Source organism: Homo sapiens, chromosome 8, assembly GCF_000001405.40.
Source record: "Homo sapiens chromosome 8, GRCh38.p14 Primary Assembly".
Taxonomy (NCBI): Eukaryota; Metazoa; Chordata; class Mammalia; order Primates; family Hominidae; genus Homo; species Homo sapiens.
In genome coordinates, this window is record NC_000008.11 from 73,574,245 (window position 1) to 73,592,257 (window position 18,013).

An 18,013-nucleotide genomic window follows, 5' to 3' on the forward strand; every position below is an offset into this window, starting at 1 on the left:
GTCAGGAAACAACAGGTGCTGGAGAGGATGTGGAGAAACAGGAACACTTTTACACTGTAGGTGGGACTGTAAACTAGTTCAACCATTGTGCAAGACAGTGTGGCCACTCGTCAAGAGTCTAGAACTAGAAATACCATTTGACCCAGCCATCCCATTACTGGGTATATACCCAAAGGATTATAAATCATGCTGCTATAAAGACACATGCACATGTATGCTTATTGCAGCACTATTCACAATAGCAAAGACTTGGAACCAACCCAAAAGTCCATCAATGATAGACTGGATTAAGAAAATGTGGCACATATACACCATGGAATACTATGCAGTCATAAAAAAAGGATGACTTCATGTCCTTTGTAGGGACATGGATAAAGCTGGAAACCATCATTCTGAGCAAACTATCGCAAGGACAGAAAACCAAACACTGCATGTTCTCACTCATAGGTGGGAACTGAACAATGAGAATACTTGGACACAGGGTGAGGAACATCACACACTGGGGCCTGTCATGGGGTAGGGGGCTGAGGGAGGGATAGCATTAGGAGATATACCTAATGTAAATGACGAGTTAATGGGTACAGCACACCAACATGGCACATGTATACATATGTAACAAACCTGCACATTGTGCACATGTACCCTAGAACTTAAAGTATAATAAAATAAATAAATAAATAAAATAAAATAAAAATAAAGAAATGTTTTTAATTTCAGAGTCGGAAAGGTATTATTTATTATACCCAACTTACACATGCTATAAAAGAAAAGACTATTTTAAAATGTCATTCAAATATATTAAAAAGAAAAACCAAACTTTAAAAGAAAACAGAGAAGAATTTTCATGTCATAAAGGCACACAGATGCACACAGTCCTACCAAGTAAAAAAAAAAAAAAAGAGAGAAAAAGACTAACCAATCTAATGTCCAAAGGGACATCAGATATGGTTATGTCATTCACAGAAAAAGTATAGAAATGGCTCATAGATCTACCAAATACATAGTCTCATTCTTAATAAGAGAAATGCAAAATAAAACTATACTGAATACCATATTTCAACTATCAAATTGGCAAAGATTCAAAACTTTGATAGCACACTGTGTTCCTGAAGCTGTAGGGAAACAGGAAATCTCCTACACTGATGGTAGAGACGTAAACTGCTGTCTATTGACAGTACTCTGGCAACATCCATCAAAATTAAAAGGATACATACTCTGTAATGGAGTAATTCCATTTGTAGGAATTTCTCCAACAAATATGCTACCACATACGTAAAATTACTTATGTATGAGGTTTTTACATGGCAGATAATAGGAAAATACTATAAACAATCTAAATATCCATCTGTGAAAAATTGATTAAATAATAATAAATCCCTATACATATCAATAGGAAAGGATCTTCAGGACATACTGTTAAGCTAAAATAAAATGGGTAGAACAGCATGTTCAAAAGGCTAGGGGATTGAATAATATATATTTGAATTTGTGTGTGTATATATGTGTGTATAAAATGTATATACATTTATACATATGTATATAAATCATATATATAAATTCTGGGACAATACACACACAAAAAACCACAAGTTACCTGCTTGAAGGTCAGGGTGGCCACTGCACTAATGAGGACAAAAAATACGGAGAGCTGTTTTGCATTTTTAATTTTTCCCCATTTAAAAACCCCAGTAAAAATAGAAAATGAAAAATAAAATTAATGAAATAGTGGAATTTGAACTAAACTTCAACTAAATTCATCATCAAAAATGAAATTGAAGGTAAAAAACGATAAAAGATTTCTACTTGTTACAGCATGGAAAATTAGATACTTTGAAGGGCCCTCCCACTATGAAACAACTGGTATTTCTTGTAAATTTGAACTTACACATATTATATTCCACTCCCAGAAACTCTTATACATGTGCACCCATAGAAATGTTCAAAAATGTTCATAATAATATTGTTTATAATCACAAAATCCTGAAAATATCCCAACTGTGGACCAACAGATGAATGGATAAATCATTATGGGATATTCACATAGTGGATGAAATACTTTATGTAACAAAACAAAATAATCTTAAATTGCAATCTTAAGTGGGGGGCGGGAGAGGGCAGAATTCCAGAGGGCAATATACCATACGACGCTATTTTTCTAAAGTTTAAAAAAAAAAGCAAAATTAAATAAGTACTGATAAGGACTCATTTATTTGATGAAATTATGAGGAATAAAGGGTGGGGCGACTACATATAAAATTCAGAGATAGTGGCTACTTCTGCTGGGGGAGGCATAGCCAATGGGGGATATGAAAGAGGAGAACAAAGGTGAAGGTAAATATATTGGTAATGTCTAGTTCTTAAATTGGGCGGTGGGTTCATGGGTGTTCATTATCTTGCTTCATAAGTTATATAAGTGTTAAATACGTTATGCATCAAATATTGCCTATTTTTCTTTAAAAATAATAGCAGTTAATGTTTCTTCACAAATTGTAATACACTTTAAGATTTTATAAAACTCCATCTTTCTAGACAAACTGAATGAGTAATTAGGAGCATTACCTTTATTTTCTCCTTATGCTTACTGTAAAGTTTCTTTGCTAACAGAGAAAAGCAATTAAGTAGTTCTTAATACTTCAACTTTGAATTTCTGCAAGATATTTATCTGTGTTATCATTACAGTCTGCTCCTAATTTTGAAAAGACTAATTTTAAACACCTTTTGATCCCCATAGACCTCTTAGAATACACAGTACATATTCTAAATTTCAGCATACATTTCAGAAATTGAAATTTCATTCAGACTCTAGAAAACTGTTTCTTCTTCTTTACCTTCAGAAAAGTTTCCTCAAGACTTCAGTATACAGATAATTCTGCTTCCCTAGCTGTTTAAATATAATATTTATGGCCGGGTACACTGGCTCACGCCTGTAATCCCAGCACTTTGGGAGGCCAAGGTGGGCAGATCACAAGGTCAGGAGATCGAGACCATCCTGGCTAACACAATGAAACCCCGTCTCTACTAAAAATACAAAAAATTAGCCGGGCGTGGTGGCAGGCGCCTATAGTCCCAGCTACTGGGAAGGCTGAGGCAGGAGAGGGCATGAACCCGGGAGGCGAAGCTTGCAGTGAGCCAAGATTGCGCCACTGCACTCCAGCCTGGGCGACAGAGCAAGACTCCATCTCAAAAAAAAAAAAAATTATATATATATATATACACACACATATATATAATATTTATGTTTAAATGCAGTCAGATTGTGTATTTCAGGCCAAAGTTTGTAAATGTAAGTGTTTTAAATATTCATTTTTTTCTGATTATAAAACCAGTATATGTTCATTATGGAAAACTAATCTATTTTTCCGTATGTTTTAGCCAAGCCCTACAAAGAAATGGGCCTAAGCTCTGTATACTTATGGCTAATTCCCTTCAGAATGACAATAAGTCAGAGTCCCATCAGCAGCATGTGACAGTCTGTTTCCCCAACAGTTGGAAGTATCATTTTTAAATCCCTGACAATTTGCGTGGATCAGAAATTTCATAACATTTATTTTTAATCCCCATTTTCCTGATTGCTAAACATTTTTTCATGATTTCTTATCTGCTCTTTTTAAATGTCTTCTTAAGACCTTTGGCCATTGGGGTGTTTGCCTTTTTTTAAAAAATTGACTTTTATGTGTCCTTTGCATATATTCAATTTGTTGCTATGCTGCAATTTATACTGTCATTTGCCTTTTTATTTTCTTATGCGGCTCCTTGAACTTGTTTTTAGCATTTACGTATATAAATCCATCTTTTTTACTTTATGGTTTCATCCGTTGCTCTTATGCTTAGAAAAACTATCATACTGCAATGAATAAATGCATCCTAAAAATGCTCATATTATTTCCATTTTTAAAAAAAATGTATCTGATATCTTTTTACATGTAAAAATGAGCCAAGCGAGTTTTTAAAATCACAATTTAAATTCATTAAATCTTTCCGGAGAATATTGCAGAAAAACATGTTATCTGTGCTAATCTGATTAAAAACTTACTCTCTAATTTCAGATTCTTTTTCCTTTAAATCAATGGATCTTCAGAGACAGACTCAACTGGTATGACTAAAACAGAGGCAAGCTTAACATTACCTCTAATCTTCCTTCCTAGCTTCAGTAGGCAAGAAAGGAGAATTCTTGTCAATGTAATTTTTTAAAGACTATAGCTTCTCACCACTCAGGTAGGTCTAATATACAGTCATCAATGTAAAAGAAGGATGATATCATTCTGAAATATTTGGATCTTTCCTCCTGTGTTCAGAGGAGAAGCAGCAATTCTACCTGCAGGCTCAAATGGACAGCAATGAGAATATGTATGTTCCCATTGCTCCCAATTGCTTCAGATAGCCCTCTATTTACGGGACCTTTGTTTGAAAACAACCAGATATTCAGGGACTGGGCTGCCCAGTACAAGTAACCCACCAATCCTTCTAAATAAGATCACTAAAAGCTGGCTACATTCTTACATTTCTAACACAGTATTTATGTCTAAAGAAATAATTAAGTTGGATCACTCAGCTTTATATTTACATCCAATTGGCTCCAACTGTTTTAACTGTCTCACTACAAAGTGGTTTCTACTATGGGAACCCCAAAGGGAATTTGTTCAGGGAGCTCTCTCAAAACACTATTAAAGAAAGTATATATTAATCTGTCACCTTAAAAGTCCAACACTTATATACCTCCCTTCTATCTCCCACCCCTACCCACCCCCCCAAAAAAACCAAAAAAACACTAGAGGTTCTAAATATAGTACATAGCATTTGGGAAACCAGCAGGCAATCTACCCAATGTCATATCACTGGGACAGTGTAGCCTCCTGGTTTCAGGATGTTCAGTGTTTAATAATACATGCATATGAAACAAAAGTGACAAAAATATTGGTAAGTCAACTAAGATCCTAAAGAGGTCAATAAGAATGCTATCTCATTCCACAAGTATTTGTCTTTGGTCATCTCTAATGAACCTACAAGTGCCAGCATATTTCACAGGGGCTAAATAAAACTTTTTAAAAGGTTAACGGAAAAATATTTATGTGAAAAATGCCTCCGAATAATCTTTTAGTGGGTGGATTTGGCACATACCAGTGAATACCTTTGAGCTTAGTCCAATCTTGAATTAAGCTACAGTTCACCTTCAAGAAACTATGAACCTGCTTTTAAGTAAAAGCCTGTATTAATAAGAAACATGGAATGTGAATACAAAAAGAGATGTTATCAGCTGAACTGTATCTAAATATTTTACAAAGTTTTCCAAGAGCCGTGAGCTGTCAGTAGATCTTTAAAATTCATGATCTTTTTTTAAAAAAGTTATTCATTCATCTGTAAAAATCTAGTTTTTTATGTGTACACCAAGCATAAAATTGCCCTATGCTAAACTTAACATAAACCTCACATTACAGAGTTATGTGTTTTTATTCTTCAACATAACTATTACAGTGATTCAAAGGATAAAAACACACTTAGAATAGTCTACCTTCTGCTGCATTTCAGTACAATGAAGAAAGCCTGAGCAGCACCCAAAAACTAGGTCCATATTTTAAATCTGCAGGCAATCAAGCAAGGAAAATAAATTGAGGAACCAGGCTATGTAATCACAATCACTTGCAAAACCATTTAAACTATTTTCTAGTTGTAATTGTTAGCAGTTTCCTATGACTGTAATCTTTTAAAAAATATCTTCCACTTAAAAAATTAAATGCACATGTACATTAATGTTTTTTGTCTACTTATAGTTAGGTGCTATGCCAGATTAAAATTCCCCTCTTTCCCCTTTCCAATTCTACATTCCCTTTTCATTTTTGTACATTATGGTTCCAAGCTAATTTCGTATTATTTATCCAAATAATGGGTGGCTAAAAATTTGATCTTTAAAACTACAATTTTGAAGCAATGTAGAGTTTAACAAAACATAACAAACAAAAAACCATAGTGAGTTAGCCATTTCATGATGACAGTGTTTTTCACAAAGTAATATGTTACCTTTTCAGATGTTATTCAAGGATGGGTAATCATTTTATAAATGTTACATAATTAAAGATTCTCAACATTATAAATTAGTATGCATAACTCTTAACAGAGAAAATTGAATAATAAGATGTAAATTGAGTTGTTCAAGGTCAGACAGTATGTCAGTGAGGCAGCCAGCACTGGCAATCTCAAATTCCTGTCTTCCCCCACATGTGCCATCCCACAAGATCCCTGCTCTAACCTTTGCCTGCAAAATGCTAACTCTGGTATTCTTCACAGGACAGAAACCATTTAGAATAGAATTTCAAACTTAAGAAACTGATTAAGAAGTTAACCTAAATATTACCATAATATATGAATTTAAATTAATTTTCAGCTAATTGGTCCATCATCTGAATGATCAATTCCTAAGCACAGTCCAACTTCTTCCTAATGTTGTATTTAAGTGCCAATGAGCTGGCTCAAGGGGACTCAGGTTTCACTTGTGAGAACTAACCCTTGGGGAATGAAACAGCTACTTTTCAGAGCTGGGCTGCCCTTATCCTCTATCGTAATCCAAGGAAGGGACAATCCAGTGTTCATTCAAAGAACTCTTAGAGCAGCTTTCTCACCTCCTTACAGCTGGGAAGAGATAACAGAACATTCTTATTTCAAAGCCTTAATCTGAACCATTGTAGACCATGAATTCCTAAAGCATTAACCGTCTGGTTAAGATTTAAGCTGGCTTCAAATAGTTTTCTCACTTCTAACTTTATGTCTCAAGCAAACCCGTTATGCATTCTTACACATTTCTGATCACTTAAACTCACTGGCCTCTTTGTGATATTCCTTCCCATGTCTGCACAGGACAGAAGTATCCCCCACTTGTCATCCCATGAGATGTATCCCTTAGCAAGTTAAAAAAAAACAAACACATAAAGCTAGGGGCCAAAACATCATTGTTTAATGATGGAGCCTGCAGGTTATCTATAAAGTGATTTCACGTTAAAATTGTCAAGTTAATAACTATTTGATCTTTATATTAAAATACATAAAGTTTATATTCTTTGAAAAAAAAGTTTAGTGCCTGAATGTAACTATTCAATAATAAGCTATATATTCTTGGTCACCATATGTATGCACAAACCATCTGACAGACAAAAGTATAAGAATGGAATTTCTGGCACGCCTACATAGAATAGTATCATTTTTATAAAAGACAAGAGGGAGGAGGCATGGAAGGAAATCAACATTCATTACGTGCTTACTAGGAAACAGGTACTGTGCTAAGTACTTTACATAAAACTGCAATCAATTTCATGTTTATTACATTCCCTCACCAAATCATTATAAACCAATATATTCAAACATCAAAGGAACTGAACACAAACTCTAGGAATCCTGAACTGATTCCATTTTTTCCTTGGGCTATGTGCTAAGGCCATCATATTCATCACCCCTATTTATACAGGCCAAGGGCTCAGAAGCACATTAATTTAAATTATTCCCAGAAAGCAGCCCCAAAATGCCATTACCTCACTGAAATAATTCTTTTCAAGAGGCTAGTTTTGATAATCCAAGAATTCAATTCTTATGAGCATACTTTGATAAGAATTTGTTACTAATTTCATTATACATCAAGAGACGAGCCACTAATATCAAAGACTAAAACCATGGATTACGATAATTTACAGATTTAAGCTTTTTCAGTGCCCAGAGGTTGTAAAGAAGATAGATAGGGTTGGAAATGGGATAGACTGGGTGTTTTTACTAGCCAAATGTTTTGATTCACTGATTTACAGTAAAATGTTAACTTCAGTGAAATAGATACTTTTCAGGAAGTGAGGGAGAGTATTAAGGAAAAATGTCTAAACGTCCAATGTAAAATATCTTGATCATATACATTTGAAAAAAATTAGTAAACTGAAATTGTTTTTTAAGTGTTTGACAATACTGTAAGTGGAACAAAGCAGCAATTTTATTCTTACACTTCTGACATTTCACTTAGTGACTTTAATAAAATATTAAAATTCTAATGACTCAGCAAAACGCAAAAAATGCTTAGGCAATGTTAAGTGAAAACAATAAAATTTTATGTATATCATAATTATATAAAAATTTGTGTGCATAAAAAATAATTGGAACTTTGAAAGTTGATTTGACAGTATAATCAGCTTATAGATAATTACTTCTTTATTTTTATTATAAAAATTATTTTTATATTATTTAAATTATTTTTTATATTTTTATATTTTTTATAATGTTGTTTCAATAAAAATGGCAACTTTAAAAAAGCATGTGATCACTACATGTATTAAATGGCAGTCTGTCTGCAATGGCTTAACTGTGTTAAGTGTATCTGTGTCTTAGTTTTCCAGCTATTCTGTCAGTTCCAGGAAAGCAAACACCAGGACTCCTTTGTACCCTCCAAAATACTTAACACAGCCTCTCAGACCCAGACAGACCCAACCAATCCCAGTGACAGCTAGTCACTGAGCCACTGATGAACACCAAGTGCAGACAACATAAAAATGAGAACTTACTATTATTTGTTGGTTCAGGAAACCCAGGCTTTGGACCACTCCATCCTTTGTTTTCCCCTGTCTGAAAGATTAAATCAATCGTTCAAATCCAGAGAAACAAGCTTATTCAAAAAGAAAAAAAAAAAGGTGACCAATTAAGCAAAGGCAAAGTCCTCTCACATGGTTATTCTGCATATTATCTCTATCTTTGACCCTGGGATGATGGCTACAAAAGAAACTAACATGAAGGGTATCATTTATTCCTTTTCTGCACCTAAATCTACTTATGTCCTTCTACTTTTGTCTGATCATGTAAATTTATAATTCAAGGCATAAAGCCAATATTCAATATATGTATTATTAGAATGTAAGCTCTAGCTAGGTGGTGAAAAAAATAAATCTTTTTTTTTTTTTTTGAGACAGAGTCTCATTCTGTCGCCCAGGCTGGAATGTAATGGCTTGGTCTCAGCTCATCGCAACCTCCACCTCCTAGATTCAAGGATTCTCCTGCCTCAGCCTCCCGAGTAGCTGGGATTAGAAGTGCCTGCCACCACGCCCGGCTAATTTTTGTATTTTTAGTAGAGATGGGGTTTCGCCATGTTAGCCAGGCTGGTCTCAAACTACTGACCTCAAATGATCCACCCACTTTGGCCTCCCAAAGTGCTGGGATTATAAGTGTGAGCCACTAAGCCTGGCCAAAAAGTAAATCTTATTAAAATAGTAAATAATAATCATCACCACAAATGCTTAAGTGACCAAAAGAGCTTTTGTATGATTCCCGAGGTCAAATTAACAACCTAACAATCAAACATTTCTGTAGACAAAAATGTTACTATGTCCATCTAGAAAAGTCCTATGGTAAGGGTCACCAAATACTGCTATAATGACATATACAAAAAATACAAATATAAAAAAAATAAAAAAATAAAAAAATGACATATACAAAAAAATTGAAAACTAAGTCCTAACTTTAAGTCCTAACTTTAAGCAAACTAAGTCCTAACTTTAAGCAAAACATGTAATATTCTGACTTTTGCCAAATGATTAGTGTTTGGTATAAAATACATTCTGAAATGTAGATGCTTTGAAGTAGTAAGTATTCAAATCAAATTAATAAGTGACTTTAGTTATATTATCTTTCTGTACAGCTGGTAACTTATCTCTTATGATGATCAGCATTTTATATTTATGTTAACGGTCAAAGGTCAAATAGATAATTAAGCCTAGATATAAACACAAAATACAATTGCTGCAAATAGTTTACCCATGTTCATTTTTAAAAAAAAGTTGTTCTTATTGAATTCATTCCTTTTTAATCATACATCTTAGGGTGACAAGGAAATATATAGTGGCAGACAGCAGAAGCAAAACTGAAAATAAAGAATCCTGAAGAGTAAGTTGACAGTATGTTAGAAACAACCAGCAGCTTCATATGAACTAGGGAGCATCTCTTTCTCTCTCTAATTAGCTCTTTTATCTCTTTAAAACACAAATTCCTGTCTTCATCAACATTTACCATCCTGAGAGATTGCTGCTATAACCTTTGACTGCAAAATGCTAACACAGGCATCCTTCACAAGAGAGAAATTACTATGTAATAAAATAGACTGATAGTAGTAATAGCTAATAGCTAACACTGAAGATTTAAAAGTGGGGTTGCTAATGCGCTAAGTGTTTTGCATAAATATGGATTATCTCATTTTCATCCTCACAAAAATTTGGTAAGATAAGTGATATTAACATTCAATTTTACAGACAAGCAAACAGGGTTAGAGTTCCTGTAATTACTCTAAGGTCACACAGATAATATGCACAGGTGCCAGGACATCAAACTACATCTTCTAACTAGAGGAGAGTAATCATGCTACCTTTGTACTGCCATTATCAGGAGAGAAAAAAGAAGCTAAAGAAAGGAATGAGCAAAAAAGTTACAGATTAAGTAAAACTGTGCCATCTAAGAATGAAAAGAAAAACAGTGAGATGAAGAACAGAGTTTGGAACTATTAAGAAGAATGCTCTAAAGGTACGGCCAGGATGGAAAGGACTACTGCAAAAACAAATGAGAGAAAACAGAAGTAGACCAGTTCCAAGGGATGAAAGAAATTTAAAAGATTTTGAAAAGCAGCTAAAATAATTATTCACATGAAAACCTGGTGAACAGAAAGAAACAAAGTATGTTCAATTTTTCTTTTACATTCCTACCATACTTTTAATTTTATTCATACCTCCAAAACATAGCCTGTACTTATCAAAGTGCTGACAACTGTTTAGGTTCTTAGAGAAATAATTACGTTTCCAGAATCCTGGAGCAGTTCTACAATTAGCCACAGGATTCTAGTCTTTCTAAACAAGTTTTTCATTTTTAATAAGTGGAATTAATAAAATCTGTTTTATTTGACTAAACTAATTTCTTCTATTCTTACCTTATGTTACCTCAATACTATACAATTGGCTGGATGTGGTGGCTCAAGCCTGTAATCCCAGCACTTTGGGAGGCCGAGGCGAGCGGCTCACCTGAGGTCGGGAGTTCAAGACCAGCCTGACCAACATGGAGAAACCCCGTCTCTACTAAAACTACAAAATTAGCCAGGCATGGTGGCCCATGCCGGTAATCCCAGATACTCAGGAGGCTGAGGCAGGAGAATCGCTTGAACCCGGGAGGCGGAGGTTGCAGTGAGCTGAGATCGTGCCATTGCACACCAGCCTGGACAACGAGAGTGAAACTCCGTCTCAAAACATGTATATATTATACAATTTATCCAGTAGGTAACATATGATTTTCATCTGAGAGCTATGCCTAACTTCAAAATTTCTTTCTTTTAAAGATCATTGTTTGAAGAGTAAGGGGAAGAGGTCAGGAGAGATGAGGTCAAAGTAATTACTACGAGAACTTCTCTCTTGAAAAGGAGAAACCCAGCAAGCACAAAGTACAGTTCATCTCCCAATCCTTACTTTCTGTATTTCTTCTACTGTACCCCTCAGACACAAACGAGAAATATAAAAGGAGATGATATGGTTTGGCTCTGTGTCCCCACCAAAATCTCACCTTTAATTGTAATAATCCCCACGTCTCAAGGGTGGAACCAGGTAGAGATAACTGAATCAAGTGGGTGGTTCCCTCATGTTGCTCTCTTGATGGTGAATGAGTCTGACAAGATCTGATGGCTTTATAAGGGGTTTCCCCTTTTACTCGGTATTCATTTCTCTTTCCTGCTGCCCTATAAAGAGGTGCCTTTTGGCACAATTTTAAGTTTCCTGAGGCCTCCCCAGCCAGCCCTGCAGAACTGTGAGTCAATTAAACCTCTTCCTTTATAAATTACCCAATCTCTAGCAGTTCTTTATAGCAAACAAATATAGGAGGCAACAGCAGGAGGTAAGTCAAAGTCTGGAAAGTGGAAAGCAGATGAAGAAGTTGTAGCTAGCTTAGCAGATGTGAGTAACTGAAACCTAACCTGCAGAGGAAGAAGCCAACAAAGAGCTCACAGTAAGGTGATGTGTCACCCAGAACCCTAGAAAGCCTCCAGAATTAGGAGTACACCTGGTACATTTAAAGATGAATCCTGGAAGGGGCTGAAACAGAAAGATTTGTCTGGAAGTCTTTTCAAGGTATTATGAAATCTCCCTATCAACTCTTTGACCCCATGCAGTCAGGTGCCTACCCCTTCCTAATAGGGGTTTCCTGTTGGGAGAGGCTAAAACAGAGAGGCTCTGGATACCAGGCATAGTTGAGGGTGAAATCCATGTGTCACCCTGCAAATAAGGAGATGGGAGTTCCAAGGTTTCATACTGAAAAATAAGATTCCAAGACTCTTTTCTCATTTGCCCCTCAGAAGACACATCCAGGGTTCCAAACCACAGGAACAGAAAGATAATGAGGAGAACAGAAGAAAAAAAATGCAAAAAAAAAAAAAAAAAAAAATCCTCAGGCACATAAGAGAAAGACTACACCCATTAAACAAGAATAGGAAGGCTTAAAAGGAATATTCTGAGAATGAGGAAGAACTCTGGGAAATCAAAAATAAAATAGCTGATGTGAAAATGTCAGAGAGGGACTAGAAAACAAACTTGAGGAAATCTTCCTAGAAAACAGAACAACAACAAAAACAGAAAGAGGGGGAGAAAAGAAAAACCACAAGACCATCCATAAGATTGGCATCTCAGAAATAAATAACAGCAAAAATAAAAGTAAAGAAATTATTAAAGAAATAAGAAATTTCTCAGTTTAAAGTATATGAATTTCTAGATTAAAACTCAAATGTCCAACACAATTTATCAAATACACATATAAAATACACATATCTCAGAACCCCTGAGAAAATAGAAAAGCATCGAGAGGGAAGAGAAGGGTAAAAGTTTCATATACAGGCTGAAGAATCAGGTGTTGAAATTTTAACAGCAATGCTGGGAGGTACAAGACAAGGGTGCGATGCCTTCCCAACTCCGTGAAAATTTACTTCCAATTTAGAATTACAGCTTAGAAAAAAACTATCAAGTGTGTGGCAAATATAAAAAAATTTCAGACCACAAGATCTCAAAAAAAAAGTTTACTTCCCATGTATCCTTCACAGGGAAGGCCCTAAAGTATGTACTCCATTAAAACAAGAAAGTAAACCAAGAACAAGGGAAACTGTCCAGAAAATAGTCAACTCAACAAAGGACAGAGGCCAGAGAAATTTTCAGGATAATGGTGAAGAGAAGAACCTTAACAGCAGCTCTGCAGCAGGCATATCGATCAATCTGCAATACAAGAGGAGGATAAAGAGCTCTAAGGGTTGGGTAGGGTGTACGTTGGGAAAGGAACGAAAAAAACTGCATGATGTGCTTGACTGGTAAAGACTTTGGGGACAGAAAGATGTAGAAAAGTGTATGTGTGGAGTATGTACCAGAGTTAAACCCTCATTTTCCATAGCAGAAAGTACATTTAATTTTTTTACTTTTATATTACTTCTCATAATATTTAAACATGAGAAACCAAGAGATAGCACAAACTACCCATAGTGGTAAGTAATAAAATAAATAGTTACAATAGGTGGTAAAGTGGTTGCCTCTGGCAAAGGGGAAGCAGAAATGGCCAGTGGCAGGGAAGGAGAACAGGATATTTTGGTATTTTAAATTATAAACCTTGAGTTTTTATACTATTAATCTTGTATAAATTCTGCCTTTTTATATATGTATTATTTTGAGTATGAGTACTACTTTGATGAATATAATGATCAAATACAAAAAAGAGTAGTCATGTCTTGACTTCAACAAACTCCAAGATATTAAGAAAAACTCTAAGATATCTGAATGAAGAAAATCAAGATGCAAGAATGGCATATAAAAAAGAGGTGAAGAGAGTATTCCACTTTTCCTTAGAATCTGGAAACATAACAATGACAAACAGCCAATCTGAAAAAGACAATTGCAACTTTTCTTGAACCCTTTAGAGACCTGAGATTACAAGGTAAACAAGCAAAATGAATTCTAGTGAGTGATAAATCCTTCTGGGAGAGATAGGACTCACAAAAATGTTAACAGCTTTGGCAGGGCAGGGATAGCAGAGATGACTGCCATGAATGTAAGTAAGAAGAAAGTAGATGAAATGTTAAATTCTTAAAGCCTGAGTATGAGCTAGCATGATAGTTTAGAAAAACTGGGAGCTCCAGACAGCAGCTCTTTTCCATTGTCCTGCCCTGGATTCTCAGAAGGACAACTGGGGCTACAGCTGCAGACCAGAGAGAGCCCAACTTGGTGCAGGAATGCAGCTGGTTAATGGCTGCACTGAGGGATAAGCACAGAACCTTGCCACTTCTCTAGGCCATTCTCCAATACAAAACAAAAAATTTAAGCCACCGGGGGAAGGGTAGAAACAAATCCTATATGCCGTTGGGGCAAAGGCAGGAAATTCTCTGGTCCTAAGAGCTCAGTAAAGCTTCATTGCTTCTGAAGAGGATTGAAAGCAAAAGCTATATGCTCCTGGGGAAAAAAAAAGATAGAAAACCTACTTGAGAGTAAGACACTACACCAGTATAAAGCAGAGGTCTGCAAATGCTGGGAAATGTACAGGAAACTCTCTCATGCCCAAACTGCCCAAAAATCCAAGATAAAATTTGGTTACCACAGAGAAGACAGCAAAAACAGAAAGATCCACCTCTGACATCCAGGCTCACAGAATCTGCCAGAAAATGAAGCTGGACAAAAAAATCAAGAACTATGACACCCACCACAATCCCAGGATTAAATAATAAATAGCAGCAGTCTACTACAGAGCCTGAAGAGAGATAACCCCATGCCATGACACAGCAAAGAAGAGACCTCTAAACCTGAGGGCTGAGCAGAGAAACTGTGAAAAAATCCTCTCAAAACCTCACATTACACAAAGCATGGGTAACAGCATATCACTATTGAAGGAATTTGTAGTTAACAGTGACTATGGCAATAACAAAACCCAAAATGAATTCAGTTAATAACTAGACTGATGCAACCCTCGATCCAAAAAGTCTGAGAGAGAGACATATGCTGATTTCTCAACAAATACTATTTGACTTAGCCTCTACTATTTTTCTGTTGCAAGGTCCAACACTCATTCAAAAATTATGAGATACCCAAAACTGCAAGAAGAAATAAACCACTGCCAAAACACAGGGAAGTCAACAAAACAGGGCCCAGGGATGACCCTGATGCTAGACCTTTCAGAAAGGTATTTTACAACACCTATGATTCATAGGTTGAAAGACCAACTGGAAAAAGCAGATAACATACATGAGCATATGGGGAATTTCAGCACACCAATAGAAACCACAGAACAAAAACATAAGGAAATCCTAAACGAAAAATATTAGAGATCAAAACATTGATGTCATTATTAATAATGCATTAATTCAGACTGCACACAGCTGAAGAAATATTGTTGAACTTGTAGACAAATCAACAGAAATTACTCAAACTGTTTAATAAAGAAAATCCTATAAGACAATACCAATGGTCTAATGAATGTATAAATGGAAACTCCAAGGAAAAGAGGGAGAAAACAAGGAATAAAATATATTTTAAAAGATAATAGCTAAGAACTTGTCAAAATAACTGATTCCATGACATCAAATCACAGATCCAAAATGCTCAGAGAACCCTATAAGGACAAGGAGGATGACAAAGATGAGGATGAGGATGAGGAAGGAAGAGAAGCAGGAGGAGGAAGAGGAAGAGGAGGAGGATAAAGAAGACAAGGAAAAGGAGAAGGGAAGAAGAAAGAGGAGGGAGGAGGAGAAGGAAGAGGGAAGAGGAGAGAAGAAGAACAATAGGGAAGGAGGAAGAGAAGAAAGAATAAAGAGGAGATAGAAGAAAGAGGAGAAGGAAGTAGGGGGAGAAGGAAGTAGGAGGAGAAGAAAAAACGAGAGAAGAAATGAGAAGAAGGAAGGAAGAGGATAAGAAGGAGAAGAAGAAAAGGTGGAGGAAAAGGAGAAGGAAGAAAAATAGAAAGAAGGGAGGAAGAAGGGTGGGAAAAGAGTACAGGGGCAGAGGAGAAAGGAAGAAACAAAAAAAATCAATTAGATACATCACAACCAAATTGTTGGAAAATAAAGAAAAGAAATATATTAAAGGCTGAGAGAGGAAAAAAAATACATCAACAAGAACAAGTAAGAATTACAACAGACTTTACATTGAAAATTATGCCTATCAGGAGACAAGGGAGCAAGATCTTTAAAGTACTAAAAGAAACAGGAAACCCAGAATCCTATATCCAGAAAAAAATAACTTTCAAAAATGAAGGTGATTCATTGGAGGCTTAAAAAAGAAAAAATAACGTGAAATTTTCTGCTAGAGCAGTCACTGAAGAGCAGCAGCCATAGTTCTGCATTACCCCATGCCCATGGGCCTCAACCAGGGCCCAAGGTGAACAAGAATATGAGCAAGCTGAGGCAGGGCTGCCACCCTGGACACCTTACCAAGCACACAAAGCTTGTGTAAGACATCATCTGGGAGGTGTGTGGCTTCCCCCTGAAAGTGGCATGCCATGAAGCTGCTCAAAGTCTCCAAGGACAAGCGGGCCCTCAAGTTCATTAAGAAAAGGATGAAAACACACATATGCACCAACAGGAAGCAAGAGGAGCTGAGGCAATATCCTGACTGCCATGAGGAAAGCAGCTGCCAAGAAGGTCTGAGCCCCCACCCCACTTTGTGTATAATAAAACCTGCAAAGAAAAAAAATGAAAGTGAAATAAAGACTTTTTTGGCAAACAAAAGCTGAGAGAATGCACTGCCTACAGATCTGCTAAAATAAGTAATATTAAAGGAAGTCCTTCAAGCAAGGAAGGGGTATAATACCAGAAAGAAATTTGAATTTACACAAATAAATGAAGGATATTGAAAATAATCAAAATGAGAGTAAATATAAAAGGCATTTTCTGCTGATTTTAATCACTTAAAAAGATAACTGACTATATAAAGCAAAATTAGTAACAGTGAATTGTACGGTTTGAAAAATATAGAAAACTAAAATGTATAGCCACAATAGGAGGTCAGAGAAACTTAGAGAAGTAACCTATGTGACCACAATAGAGGTCAAAAAAGAAAAAAAGTAAACAGAGTAAGTGCGGGGAAAAAAAAAGGCAACTAATAAAATGGTGTGTTTAAATACAACAATCTCAATAACTTCAGTAAGTGCAAATGGTCTAATCACCCTAACTAAAGGGCAAAGTTTGTCAAATTAAATTTTAAAGAACAAGACCCAATTATATGCTTTCTAAAAGAAACCAATTTAAAGATAGGTTAAAAGTAAGCACAGGGAAAAAAATATCCCATGCAAACACCAGTCAAAATAAAACTGGAGTAGCTATATTAATATCAAACAAAACAGATTTCAGAACAAGGAATAAAGGGAAATATCCAATAGAAGTGGTCAAGTCAACAAAGACACAACACTAACTGTATACATATATAACAACAAAGTTTCAAAATGCATAAAACAAAAACTAATAAAACTGTAAGAAGTAGAAGTAGGAAAATCCAAACTTATAGTTGGAAACTTTAACACTGGACAAAACAAGTAATCATAACAGATACAGGGCCTGAAAGAAGAAATCAAGAGGGAAATCAGAACATATTTTGAGTTGAATGAAAGTAAAAACCCATACAGCGTGTATCCCAGAGGTAAAAAAAAAAAAAAAAAAAAAAAAAAAAAAAACAAGAGAGAGACAAGAAAAACCCAACTTGTCAAAATGTGTAGGGCAGAGCTAAATCAGTACTTAAAGAAAAATTCACAGCATTAAATGCTTATATTAGAAAAAAGAAAGTTCTCAGATGTATAGCCTAAGCTTCTACCTCACAAAATTAGAAAAGAACAAAAAATTAAAAACAAAAACAAGTGAAGGATAAAATAAAGAGCAGAAATCAAAAAAACTGAAAATAGAAAAACAGAGAAAAATCAATGCAACTAAAACCTAATTGTTTGAAAAGACTTAAAATTTTATAAACCCCCTAGCTAAACTGAACAGAAGAAAAAGAGAAAAGAAATAAATGATCAATAT

General features: G+C 35.4%; 1 protein-coding gene across 7 annotated transcripts in view, besides 1 other annotated feature; it reads right to left on the reverse strand.

Annotated features, from left to right (window-relative positions):
- The window catches only part of STAU2 (staufen double-stranded RNA binding protein 2), a 327,112-nt gene that overhangs the window by 153,876 nt on the left and 155,223 nt on the right, over window positions 1–18,013 (reverse strand). For all 7 annotated transcript variants that reach the window (NM_001164383.2, NM_001164382.2, NM_001164381.2 and 4 more), the window contains one exon: window positions 8,526–8,586. In NM_001164383.2, coding sequence (NP_001157855.1) covers window positions 8,526–8,586 — 61 coding nt within the window. The remainder of the gene's footprint in view (window positions 1–8,525; window positions 8,587–18,013) is intronic.
- Window positions 13,975–14,476: an enhancer, noted in NCBI's record as "OCT4-NANOG hESC enhancer chr8:74500454-74500955 (GRCh37/hg19 assembly coordinates)". NCBI's record gives its function as "activates a minimal SCP1, AML or CMV promoter by ChIP-STARR-seq in naive H9 embryonic stem cells {active_cell/tissue: H9 hESC(naive)}" and the evidence as "EXISTENCE:reporter gene assay evidence [ECO:0000049][PMID:30033119]".